General features: G+C 43.7%; 1 long non-coding RNA gene across 1 annotated transcript; it reads right to left on the bottom strand.

Annotated features, from left to right (window-relative positions):
• Nucleotides 1–1,861: 1,861 nt before the first annotated feature.
• LOC105379265 (uncharacterized) lies at nt 1,862–10,408 on the bottom strand. The gene is made up of 4 exons (XR_949066.1): nt 9,853–10,408; nt 8,603–8,744; nt 6,372–6,458; nt 1,862–1,990 (listed from the first exon to the last, which is right to left on the bottom strand). It is a non-coding gene; the product is annotated as an uncharacterized LOC105379265 (long non-coding RNA).
• Nucleotides 10,409–13,497: the final 3,089 nt, after the last annotated feature.

The following is a 13,497-nucleotide window of genomic DNA, read 5'->3' as shown; positions in this document are numbered from 1 at the left end:
CCCTATTGAGCATAACTGTGTAGAGGTGTTGAACTCAGCTTACTTTAGCAAGCCTGACGTGTATGAACAGCCTTGGGCATCAGTGGACTGGGAGGTATATGTGGGTGGGAGCAGCTTTGTCAACCCACAAGGAGTGAGGTATGCAGGATATGGAGTGGTAACCCTGGACGCTGTCACTGAGGCCAAACTATTGCCATAGGGTACTTCAGCCCAGAAAGCCAAGATCACTGCTTTAATTTGGGTGTGAAAACTCAGTGAAGGTAAGACTAAAAACATTTACACTGACTCTTGGTATGTTTTCTCAACCCTCCAAGTACATGGAGCATTATATAAAGAAAAAGGGCTGTTAGTCTCTGGAGGAAAGGACATAAATCATCAGCAATAAATCTTGTAATTATTAGAAGCAGTATGGAAACCCCAAAATGTGTCAGTCATGCATTTCAGGGGACACCAGCAAGCTTCTACCGTGGTTGCTTTAGGGAACTCCAGAGCTGACTCAGAGGCTCAAAAAGCAGCCTCCACCCCTACCAGACATTGGTCTCAACCCCCATGCTTCCTCAGACACCTGACCTTGTACCTACTTGTTGTAAAGAGGAGAAAGACTTCTTTCAGGCAGAAGGAGAGCAAACAGCAAAAGAGGGATGGATCCAGTTACCAGACAGAAGAATAGCCATGCCACAGCTGCTAGGAGCCACAGTTGTACTGGCTGTGCATGAAACTACCCCTCTAGTTCAGGAGTCACTTAAAAAATTGTTAGGCTGGTACTTCTACGTCTCATATTTGTCAGTCCTTTCCAAAACCATGGCATAGCGATGTATTTTATGCTGACAACAAAATGTGAGGGAGGGTCCAGCAATTCTGCCCAGCATACAAGTTTATGGAGCAGCCCCCTTTGAAGATCTCCAGGTGAACTTCACAGAGATGCCAAATTGTGGAGGTAACACATATTTACTAGCTCTTGTGTGTACATACTCTAAGCTGGTAGAGGCTTATCCGACACAAACTGAAAAAGCTCGTGAAGTAACATGTGTGCTTCTTTGAGATCTTATTCCTAGATTTGGACTGCCCCTACGAATCGGTTCAGATAAACGGACAGCGTTTGTGACTGGCTTGGTGCAGAAGACAGCAAAGGTATTGGGGATCACGTGGAAACTACATGCAACTTACTCACCTTAGAGTTCCAGAAAGGTGGAACGAATTAATCAAACTATTATAAATAGCTGAGGGAAAGTGTGTCCAGAAACAGGATTGAGATTGTTACAGACTCTCTGTATGGTATTCTTTAAGATAAGATGTACTCCTTCTAAAAGAACAGGATATTCCCCTTATGAAATATTATATCATAGACCCACTCCCATATTATGGGGACTCCCAGGCACTCTTCGAGAGTTAGGTGAAGTTAAGTTACAGCAACAGCTACAAGATCTAGGAAAAATTACACAAAAATTTCAGGCTGCGAAAATGGAAGGGGGCCAATTAGTTTATTCTCCCCAGTTCACAACTTCTCCCCAGGTGATCCCATATGGATCAAGGACTGGAATGCAGCCCCCTACGTCCATGGTGTAAGGGACACCAGACTGTCATTTTGACCACTCCCACCTGGTGAAGGTAGAAGGAATCCCAGCCTGGATCCATCACCATCGTGTAACACCTGCAGTGCCTGAGACCTGGGAGGTAAGACCAAGGCCAGACAACCACTGCAAAGTGACACTCAGAAAGATGACAAGGCCTGCTCCAGTCACACTTTTAAGCTGACTGGTATACACATGGTTGAAGCATGAGAAAACTCATCGTGGGACTTACTCTTCTTAAAATTTGGACTTGTATAATAAAGACTGATTATACAATGCTTACTGTGTATGTCTTCCACATGAAAAGTTTCCCAGTTCATGGAAGAGGATCCTCAAAGAATCCATTGCATGAGTGTTTCCTTCTAAACACTGTCATGTTCCCAAAATGGAGGACTGTTCCCTGTGTAATCATCATGTTACTGAGGTAGGGAAACAAGTTAAAACAATCTTTCGGTTTATAGATATTATGAATGCCTAGGAACTTTAAAAGAATATTGCCTGTATAACTTCACTCGGATATGCTATAACACATCTGAATCTCCTATGAACACAGTCTTTGAAATAAGATTAAGAACTCTCCCTTTTCTAAGTGATACAAGTAAAATAATAGCTAAAACAGAAGAAAAATGAATCCCCAAACAAAAAATCTTAAATTCTGATGCTGGTGTCACCATTAATATTAACCATTAAGGATAAGGATGTGGCTCTCTGGACTGAGAAAAAAGTTATCCAGCAGAGAATAAGTATATTTGCCACGAGTTAGGCCAATATGATAAAGCTTGTAATTGCTGGTCTTGTGTCATTTTGGCTACCTGGAAAAATAATGAAAAATATCCAGTATGGCTTCAGAAAGGAAAGGGTGATTCCTCTTGCACAAGCAGCCACAGTAACACCTTAGAACCAATAATCACCAGTCCCCTAGTCCCCCCATTGGAAAAAGGGAAAACATGTAACTCTTGGGATCAATGTAGCTGGACAGGATCCTTGAGTAAATATTTCAGTCAGACAAGAGGTCAAAATGTGTTCTTACAAACCAGTGTTTCAGACTTTCTGTGATGAATTAAATGTGCCCACACCAGAGTTCCCAGGGAAGACAAAGAATTTGTTCCTGCAGTTAGCAGAAACTGTAGTCCATTCCCTCAATATTTCTTCCTTTTATATATGTGAGGGAACCACTATGGGAGAGCAATGGCCTTAAGAAACCTGAGAATTAGTGCCTACTGATCCAATTCCTGATATGATTACAATCCAGAAGACCAACACTGGCAACTTCTGTGTCCTAAGAACCTCAATTGTTGGGCAGTATTGCATAGCTATAGAAGGAAACAACTTCATCCTCCCTGTGGGAAGGTTCACCTGCCTTGGGCAAAACTGTATAACAGCACAGTAAAAACAGCCATATGGTGGGGTTCAAACCACACTGAGAAAAATCTGTTTAGTAAATTTCCAAAGTTGCAAACCATGTGGACCCACACAGAGTCTCAATGGGACTGGACAGCCCATGCTGGACTATGCTGGATATCTGGGCATACAGCCTACACGATGTTACCTGAAAAATGGGCGGGTAGTTTTGTTATTGGCACCATTATACCATCCTTTTTCCTACTGCCCATGAAAACACATGAAATCCTGGTCTTCCAAGTCTATGCTTCCTGAGAAAAGAGGAGCATAGCTATAGGCGAATTGAAATATATTGAGTGGCTCCCTAAAAGAATCATACAATACTATGGGCCTGCCACTTGGGCACAAGACAGCTCATGGGGATACTGAACCCCCAGTTACATGCTCAACCAAATCATACAGTTACAAACTGTCTTAGAAATAATCACTAATAAAACTGGCAAAGCTTTGAGTCTTTTAGCCTTGCAGGAAACCCAGAGGAGAAATGCTATCTATCAAAATAGATTAGCCCTAGACTACTTGCTAGCAGCTGAAGGTGAGGTCTGTGGAAAATTGAACTGAACCAATTGCTGTCTGCATATAGATCATCAAGGGCAAGTGGTCAAAAATATAGTTAGAGATAGGACACACCTTGCACATCTGTCATCATTTTGGCTACCTGGAAAAAGAATGAAAAATATCGATTGACATTGGTTTGATCCTGGATCAATATTTGGAAAATGGTTTCCAGTGCTAGGAAGATTTAAAACTCTTATAGTAGGAAGAATAATAGTAATAGGAACATGCTTATTTCTCCCCTGCTTGCTACTCATACTCCTTCAAATAATGCGAAGCTTTGTTACTGCCTTTGTCCACCAAAATGCTTCACCACCAGTATATTACATGAACCAATATTGATCTGTCTTGCAGGAAGACCTAGGAAGGGAGGATGAGAATGAGAACTCCCAGTAATAAGTGAGATTCTCAAAGTGGGGAATAAGGAGGGAGACCACCTCTCTTATTGTCTCATACCTTAAAAAAAGAAAAAGGAATCAAAAACTAAAGAAAGGCAGAGATGAATTCAATTGCCAGGCAGAACATGCACGGCACTCCAGGACTGGCAGTTAAAAATCAACCCCTCGCCTAACCGCTTGTATTATCTATAGGTTCCAGACACTGTATGAGGAAGCATCGTGAAACTGTTTTGTCCTCTTCTATCCTGATTACCCATACATGCAGCCCCAGCCACATACCCCATGCTTGCTCAATCAATGACGACCCCTTCACAGGGACCCTCTTAGAGTTGAAAGCCTTTAAAAAGGGCAGGAATCTCTCTCTGGGGAACTTGGTTTTTGAGACAGTTGGCTGATGCTCCCAGATGAATAAAGTCACTTCCTTCTTTAAGCCAGTGTCTGAAGGGTTTTGTCCATGGCTTATGCTGCTACAATGGGAGTACTCCAATGTGCAAGGAACATTTGGAGATTTGGATTGCCAATTGGTGCCATCCTGGCAAACCCCCATATGAGAGCTTTCATACCAGAAGCCAAATGGGAGTGAGAGAGATTGATACAATATAGGATGTAACCTCCATACTTGCCTCTTATATTCTGACTTACCTGTTCCTCATCAGCCTAGGGTATCCTGGGTCTGGCTCAATGTCTTCCTCACTAAACGTTTCCCTGTTCATGGAAGGTGACTCTCAAAGAATCCATTGCATGAGTGTTTCCTTCTAAACAGTGTCATGTTTTAATGACTGGGCATCTGTGATAATTTTAAAACCATAAATTCCTGTTACAGCCACCAACAAGGAGACTCTTGCTCTCCAGCTTTTACAAGAGGGCTGCATGATTCCTGTAGGTGGATAAGTAGGCAGCCATTTCTGGCTTTTGCCTGGTAATCTAGACTCTGTTTCATTCCATCTCCATGTCCTTCCTCACTGTGGAAAGCGTCTTTCATTGGGATTTGCTGGGTTGGGCTACCTCTCACTGCAGATTTATTGGCCTCCAGGGATTTCAGGAAGGACAAGGGACTTTGGGTAGGCTGGCTGCAACCCAGGTTGTGGGTCTTGGTCTCTTAATGGGGGCTGAGGTTGTTTGCACTTTGCAGGAGGCTTTTGGGTTCTCTGACAGAAATCATTGAACATTGCTAGGACTCCAGAACAAGATAGCTCATTCTCTGTGGGAAAGAGAGTTTCTGGGATGCCAGATGACTTCTTCTCCCCTGTGTGAGACACCCATGGGAGCCATGGGTGGCCTCTGAGGAGAAAAGTCTCCTTATTGACTTCATGTCTTTATTCTCAAGAGCATAACAGCTCAGCAGCATGCTACAGGTTGCTCAGGGAAATAACACTCCCTTGAAGCAGTGGTGTATAATCAAACATCTTGTCTTCTACTGAAACCCACTCCCACCCATTTCAGTCCTGATAAGTTATTTTTATTATTTCTATTATAATGTTTTTGAGATGGAGTCTCTCTCTGTCACCCAGGCTGGAGTGCAGTGGTGTGATCTTGGCTCACCACAAGCTCCACTTCCCATGTTCACACCATTCTCCTGCCTCTGCATTCCGAGTAGCTGGGACTACAGGCACCCACCACTGCACCCGGCTAATTTTTGTATTTTTAGCAGAGACAGGTTTTCACCGTGGTCTTGATCTCCTGATCTCGTGATCTGCCCTCCTGGGCTTCCCAAAGTGCTGGGATTACAGGCGTGAGCTACTGTGCCCGGCTGTTAAAAATCTTACATAGTTTAGACACATGCCTTTGCAAGAGGAAATTCACAGAAACCACCACTGCTACACATCTTATTGAATGACTCACGAGTTCTGCTTCACTGATTAATCATTTTCCTCATCCCTTCCTACCCCTCCCATCTGACCTAAGAACAAAGAGCTTGTAAACCAGTAAATTGGGTGGAGATTGAGAGCTCGGGTCCGTGAGCAAGCCTCCAATTCTCTGGTCCCCTGGACCTGCTTTTTAAACTCTCAATCTGCCTCTTTCTAATTCCATTGTCTCCGCTGGACACGGGGTACCTGCCCAGTGGTGTGGGGCTTGTTTCCTCAACATCTGGTGCCCAACACAGTACTCCCTATATCTCTACAAATCATCCAGTGAGGGAAAACCAGAGCGTAGAAAGTGCAGGATGACTGACAAAGGATGTCCGAGTACCTTTTCCCTTCATGCTCTACAGGTAAGTGGGGCACTCAGAGAATTCCAGGGCAACCTCAGGAAAATATGAGTCAGGCTGGAAACAAGTTTGATAATTACTCAAGCCTGGTGCAGCAGTTATTGAGCCATAAAGGAGTAATTATGAGTACCCAAAATCTCACATCTTTTTTCCATCTCATAGAAAAGTATTCTCCTTTGTTCTCAGAATATAGAACCATGAATATAAAAGACTGGAACAAGATCAGATCAGACTTACAAGGAGCACAACAAGAGGGCTGCGATATTCCCTTCTCCACTTGGTCTGTGTGGTCAGCAATTAAAACAGCACTGGAGCCCTTCCACCCTGAGGAGGAGGAGGAGAAGTTTCAGGGTGACATAGAAAAGTTTAATAATCAGGAGTCTGATAATCAGCACAGTGAACCATCACAGTCTAGTTTAAAAAAGGGGGAGAAATGGGAAGGTGTATATGCTAACCTCCAAAAACTTATGAAAGAAAGAGTTCCCCCTACTGCATCTTTAGAGGAAAGTGCAGAACAGCCACCTCCACCTCAGCCTTATGAATTTTTGGAAAGAGGTACTGAGACACAGCTTGCCACTCCCATTGTTGCACGGCCTACCATTGACTATGGTAAAGGGAAGCTTCAACAGCCCAACAGCCAATTACGGTGAGGGAATGATCCAGGCTTGTCCACCTGTTAATTGTGGGAGAAAAATGCTGTGAGCCAGTCCAAATACAAATTATGGTGCAGGGGCAATTCAGGCATCCATTTGACAGGCACAAGAAATGGGGGATTTGGATGCTTGGCAGTTTCTGGTAATTATTTCTCCAGCTCAGGAGCCCAGAGAACATGCTCGGGCCTGCTGGGAGCCATTTTCTTTTAAAATATTAAAAAGCAATTGGACAATATAGGCCAAATTGGACAAGCAATTTAAGCAAGCAATTGGACAATATAGGCCAAATTCTTCTGAGGTTCATTCCTCATTATAATTTGTGGCTTATAACAGGCCCTTAATACCTATGGATTGGGAGTCATTAGCTCAATCCACCCTGTCCCCATCTCAATTTCTCCAATTTAAAACCTGGTGGACAGATGAAGCAACAAGTCAGGCAGGCAGAAATGCTCAGGCCCAACCTCTTATTAATATCACATCTGATCAATTGCTTGGAATTGGACAGGCATTGGGTACTGTAAATCAACAGATGGTAATGGGTGATGAGGCTGTTGATCAGCTCAGAACTATATGCTGAAGATACCAGGAAAAAAATTCATGACCCTGTTACTATTTATCCTTCTTTTAACTCAGTTTGACAGGATCCAAGGGAGATTTATCCAGATTTTATCACCCCATTTGCAAGAAGCTGCTCAAAAGACTATTTCAAATTCTTGTGCCAGGAAAGTGATCATTCAGCTGCTTGCTTATGAAACTGTGAATACAGAATGTCAGGCAGAAATTAGATCTATTAAGGTAAAGGCAGATCTAAATGAGGAAAAAACTGTAAGTGAATATATTACAGCCTGTGATGGCATTGAGGAGCCCTTATATAAGGCCAGCCTCCTTTCTCAGGCAATGGCTGGACAAAGGGTAATAAAAAACACATGAGTGTTCTCTGGATCTTGATATACTTGGGGAAAGATAGGACATGCAAAAAGAGAGTGTACAAAGAGCCAAAAAAGGCAAAACTCAAAACAGGGCATTCCCAATTCAGGGTGGGTCATCCCTGACTCCAAACAGAGTATTCCCAGCCCAGTGTATCCCTGTACAAATGCAGAGCAATTGTCCCCCTCCACAGATAAAAGTGGGGCAGTAGATTTATGCTGCACAAAAGCTCTATCCCTCCTTCCTGGGGAGCCTCCTAGGAAGATCCCAATGGGAATTTACGGCCCATTGCCAAAGGACATGGTGGGACTTATACTGGGAAGGTCCAGCTTAAAATTAAAGGGAATTCAAGTACATACTGGAGTAGTGGGCTCTGATTGCCAGGGAGAAATTCAAATTGTTATCTCCTCCACTGTTCCCTGGAGTGCTAACAGGTGACAGAATAGCTCAACTGTTGCTTTTACCATATGTTAAGTTAGGAGAAATCTCAGAAAAAAAGGATATGGAAGCACAAATTCAGCAGGCAAGGCTCCCTATTGGGTAAATCAAGTCTCTGACAATAGTCCTATTTGTAGGTCACTATTCAAGGAAAACAATTTGAGGCTCTGGTCGATACAGGAGCAGACGTGTCATCATAGCTTTTATCAACGGCCCAAAAACTGACCCAAACAAAAGGCCCCAGTGGGTCTTGTTGGGATTGAGGATTTGCTTATATCTCACCAGGAGAGAATCAACTTCTTGTCTGGGTACCCACAAGACATCTTAAGCTGTGCCAGGAGCCAGAATTCAAGGAAGAGGAAAAGACCTCAGAAAGTCCCTACACCCCCAGTTCATCAGATGGTTCAGATGAACATCTCTGTTGAGCAGATGGAAACCAGTGAAACTTACCAAGCAACTCCACCGACCTGGGGGCAGATGAAGAGACTAGCTCGCATTGAAGAAAAGAACCTGTGGTCTCAGCACAAGCTGCTGACCACCAGTAATCTAATGGTAGCTATGATGGTGGTAATCTCCTTGGTGGTGAGTCTCCCTGCAGAGGGGCAGATCAAAATTACACTTATTGGACCTACATTGCATTCCCACCACTGATTAGGCCTGTTACAAGTTTAGATGCCCCAGTGGAGGTTATGTTAATGATAGTGTCTGGATGCCTGGACCAATAGATAACCAAGGTCCTACTCATCCAGAAGATGAAGGAATATTAATGAAAGTTTCCAGTGGTTATCACTTTCCTCCCATCTGCCTGGGTCCAGCAGCAGGATGTTTAAATTGGATGGTTTATGTCCCTGAACATAATGGATGAAAGACCTCTATTCATGTAATCAGTGGAAGAACATTTCAGTCTTTGGACACTATTAAATACCTTGAGCATGGCTATGTTATGACATATCATCAGATTAATAAATTTAAACCTAATAAGAAGTCCTGCACCAGGCAGGCCACTAAATGGTCTGAAAATCTAGAGGTGCTAACCTGGGAAGTTTGTATTGTAAACAGCACTGCAGTATTGCAAAATAATTCCATTGGAATCATCACTGATTGGGCCCCTAGGGGTCACTTTGCTGTAAATTGTACTAGACACAGCAAAGATTTTGGAGAGGCTCCTTTGCAAACGACTTCCCAGATAATGCACTAAAATTATATAGAAGAATTGAAACAAATTGCCCTATTAAGTGGGAGGAGAATGGTATGGCTCCTCCAAAGCCAAAAATGATTGATCCAATTATAAGTCCAGAACATCCAGAATTGTGGAAATTAATGTTGGCTCAAACCCCAGTTGGGATTTGGAAAGGAGAATATAAAACACGGACTCATAGTGAAAAACTTTGATTTGTTGTAGCCATGATCTCTAATAAGACAGTTCCATTGCAGAGTTGTGTTAAACCTCCTTTTATGTTAGCAGTAGGAAAAGTTAATATCCTACTTGACTCTCAAACCATATCATGCCTCAGCTGTCATATTTTTACCTGCATTAATTCTACCTTTAATAAAGATAATAGCATTTTACTGGTTAGGGCCTGAGAAGGAGTTTGGATACCTGTTTCCCTCAATAGACCTTGGGACACCTCTTCCTCCATATATATTATCACTGCAGTACTAAAAGAAATACTTAATAGATCAAAGAGATTCATATTTACCTTAATAGCTGTCATCATGGGCCTTATAGCGGTCACAGCTATAGCTGCTGCTGTTGGTATAACTTTGCATTATTCTATTCAAACTGTGAGCTCTGTGGATAGTTGACAGGAAAATTTTTTCCAAGCTTTGGAATTCCCAAAGCCAAATAGATCAAAAATTGGCAAATCAAATTAATGATCTTCATCAAACAGTAATTTGAATGGGTGGTCAGATTATGAGCTTGGAGCAGAGAATTCAAATGCAAAGTGATTGGAATACTTCTGATTTTTGTTTCCTCCTAGCTCTTATAATACCACTGAACACCATTGGGAGATGATTAGACATCACCTACCAGGAGAAGATAATTTAACATTAGATCCTGCTAAACGGAAAAAACAACTTTTTGCAGCATCTCAGGCTCATCCTAGCTTGTTGCTTGGAGATGATATTCTTGCTGGAGCCACTGATGGCCTTTTTAACAATAATCCTTTAAAGTGAATTAAAACCATAGGTGGATCATCAACTGAAATATTATTTTGGTTTGTGTCTGTTTATGCTTTTTTTTTTTTTAGTCTACAGTTGCAGACAGCACCTTGGGAGAGAAGACAGACACCGTGAATGAGCTATGATAGCAATGGTGGTTATTAATTAAAAAAAATGGAGACAAAAAAGTGGGACATATGGGAAAGAGAGTTTCTGGGATGCCAGATGAGTTGGTCTCCCCCATGTGAGACTCCCATGGGGAGCCATGGATGGCGTCTGAGGAGAAAATCTCCTTATTGCCTTCATGTCCTTATGCCTGGAGAGCATAACAGCTCGGTGGCATGCCACAGCTTTCACAGGGAAATAACACTCCCTTGAAGCAGTGGAGTATAATCAAATGTCCTGGATTCTCCTGAAACCTACTCCCACCCATTTCAGTCCTGATAAGTTAAATACATTAAGTAGTTTAGACACACTCCTTTGCTCAAGGAAATTCACAGAAACCGCCACTTCGCTATACATCTTATTGAATGACTCATGAGTTCTCCTTCACTGATTAATCCTTTCCCTCATCCCCTTCTACTCCTCCTATCTGCCTATGAACAAAGAGCTTGTAAGCCAATAAATTGGGTGGAGGCTGAGAGCTCCAGGCCATGAACAAGACTCCAATTCTCTGGTCCCCTGGACCTGCCTTTTAAACTCTCATTCTGTCTCTTTCTAATTCCTTTGTCTTCGCTGGACTCGGGGTACCTGCTGGGCAGTGTGGGGCTGGTTTTCCAACAATTCTCTCAAGTGATTTTTTCTCTCTGAGTATAAGGAATCCACAGTGCTCTTGCAACACTACTGGATACCCTTTCCAGGGTGGCAATTGCCACAGATGGCCTCTAAGACACTGTCTCAACCTCATCTGCACCCATGAGAGGCCAGTTCAAAGTGTGAGAACATGTCTCCAACATGTGGTTGGAGACCTTTCTTGTGGTTCTTGCTTATCTGAGAGAGCCCCTGTGAGGCCCAGAATGAAGGGAGGCAGTGAGATTAAGGGCCTGGCCATCTTTTGCTGACACCTGCCTCTGGTGTCTTAGATATAATTCTATTATCCAAAGAACACTGAACAACACAACAGACTATATCCTGATCCCCATAGGATCTGGTCCTTGCACACACATTCTCTTTCAGGAATAGAGTCAGAAGAGCAGTTTCCAGCCACTACCTAAGAGTAATGAAATGTGTACTCCTTCAGCGGGATGAGACCATGGAGGCTGCCCATGGGGCCCTAAGGTCGAGATGTTTAGGGTCTCACAGTGGGTTTTCACAGGTAGCCATTTTCCCGATATGAGGCCAGCTTTGCCTGTGCATTTTCCTCTGCCTAGGCAGGCTGACATCGCTGACAGCTGGGTGCTTGAACCTGCCCCAAGAATGTGCATGTGCTAGTTTCAGGGCACCAGGCATGATGGTGAGTTCTGCCTAGCCTCACAATGTCACCGTTGCCTAGCAACAAGTTCATGCAGCTTGGCAGAGAAAGAGACCTGCTCGGAGGTGCATTGGCGGTGGACTCTCCCCTGTCTTTTCTGTGGGATGCCTGAAGAAACCTCAACCATGATCAGAGGGCTTATGGGAGTCAGCCTGAAGAAACATCAACCACAATCCCACAAATAAACTGCAAAATCCCTAAGCATCCAAAAGGATCTGCAGAATTCCTCAGGCCAGCCTAGAGGTTGTATGTGTTTTGAAACTTATGCCAATGTGATTTCTAGGTACAGGCTGCCTGTGTTCCCTGGGGTTGCTGTCTCTCAGGTGGGGCCTCCTGCGGAACCATGCAAGCTCAGGATCTGCCATGCTGTGTGTTTCCGTGGGTGTGTTGCGAGTGTTTGACGTCGAGTGTGTGTGGCATTTTGTGTGCGTGTGTGCCTGTAAGTGGGGTCTGCTTAAAGGAATGGGGCTAACACACTTCAGTGCTTCTTGTTTTTAGACTCACTACCTTTTGGTGGCCTCTCTGTGTGGCTATGCTTGGGCTGCATGGCTCCGTGTTATTTTTCTGTGGATTGTGAATCCCCAGTGAATTTGGAGGTGGGCCAAGACCCGCCAGCGTCCAAAATCACCTCCCCCTGCAGAAGAAACTACTCTTCTAGAAGAGGAGCACACCACACCAAAAACCAGGCATCTAACAGTGTTTCCATCATCTTGAGGACAACGCAGGGAGAGACACTAGCAGATCTGTCTGCAAGGCCACTTGGATTAACCTCGAATTTGGTTCCCAGCTGCGCACATGCTTCACATCATTGGGGGACACTTCTCCATCTTCTTGGGATTTTATCCTGGAACATAGAGTGTGAGCAGCAATTAGGTCACATGTGGTGAGGATACAATCTACTGAATGGAGAATGGGTTCCAGCAACTTCACCTGCAAAAATAATAATAATAATAAAGACAGATGACACAAAATGTGCTTCTAACTCCATCCCAACATCCGCTTAATTTCAAAAGCAGTCCACACCATGGCCCAGAATTCAGGTGGGAGTATTTCAATGTGCAAAGAATATTTGGAGGGCAAATTGGGGCCATTCTGGCAAACTCCCAATGTGAGTACTTTCATACCCAGAGCCAAATGGGAGTGGAATGGATTGGTGCTGGGTAGGATGTGGCCTCTACACTTGCCTCTTCTTTTTCTGACTTCCATGTTTCTCTCCAGCCTAGGGTTTCCTGTGCCTGGCTCAACGACTTCCACATTAAATGTTTCTCAGTTCATGAGAATGACCCTCATGGGAATCCATAGCATGAACGTTTTCTTCTAAAAATTCTCACTTTTTATTGACGGGGCTGCTCTGATACTTTAAAAACCGTTAATTCCTGTTACAGCAGCAAACAAGGAAACACCTATTCTCCCACTTCTGTCAGAGTGCTGCATGATTCCTGTAGGATGAGAAGCTTGCAGCTGTGTCTGGCTTTTGCCTGGTAAACTAGCCTCTGTTTCATTTCATCTGCGTGGCCTTCTCATAGTGGAGGGGCTCTTGCATTGTTCTGTTGCTGGATAGGAATGCCTCTTCCCACCAATTATTTAGCTGCCAGAGATTTCAGAGAGCAGAAGGGACTTTGGGTCATCTGGCTGCACTCCAGATTATGGATTGTTGTATTGTTGTGGGAGCTGAGGTTGTTTGCACTTTGCATGAGTCTTTGGGGTCTTC

This window comes from Homo sapiens, chromosome Y (assembly GCF_000001405.40).
Source record: "Homo sapiens chromosome Y, GRCh38.p14 Primary Assembly".
Lineage (NCBI taxonomy): Eukaryota > Metazoa > Chordata > Mammalia > Primates > Hominidae > Homo > Homo sapiens.
This window is presented reverse-complemented; position numbering and strand designations above follow the sequence as displayed.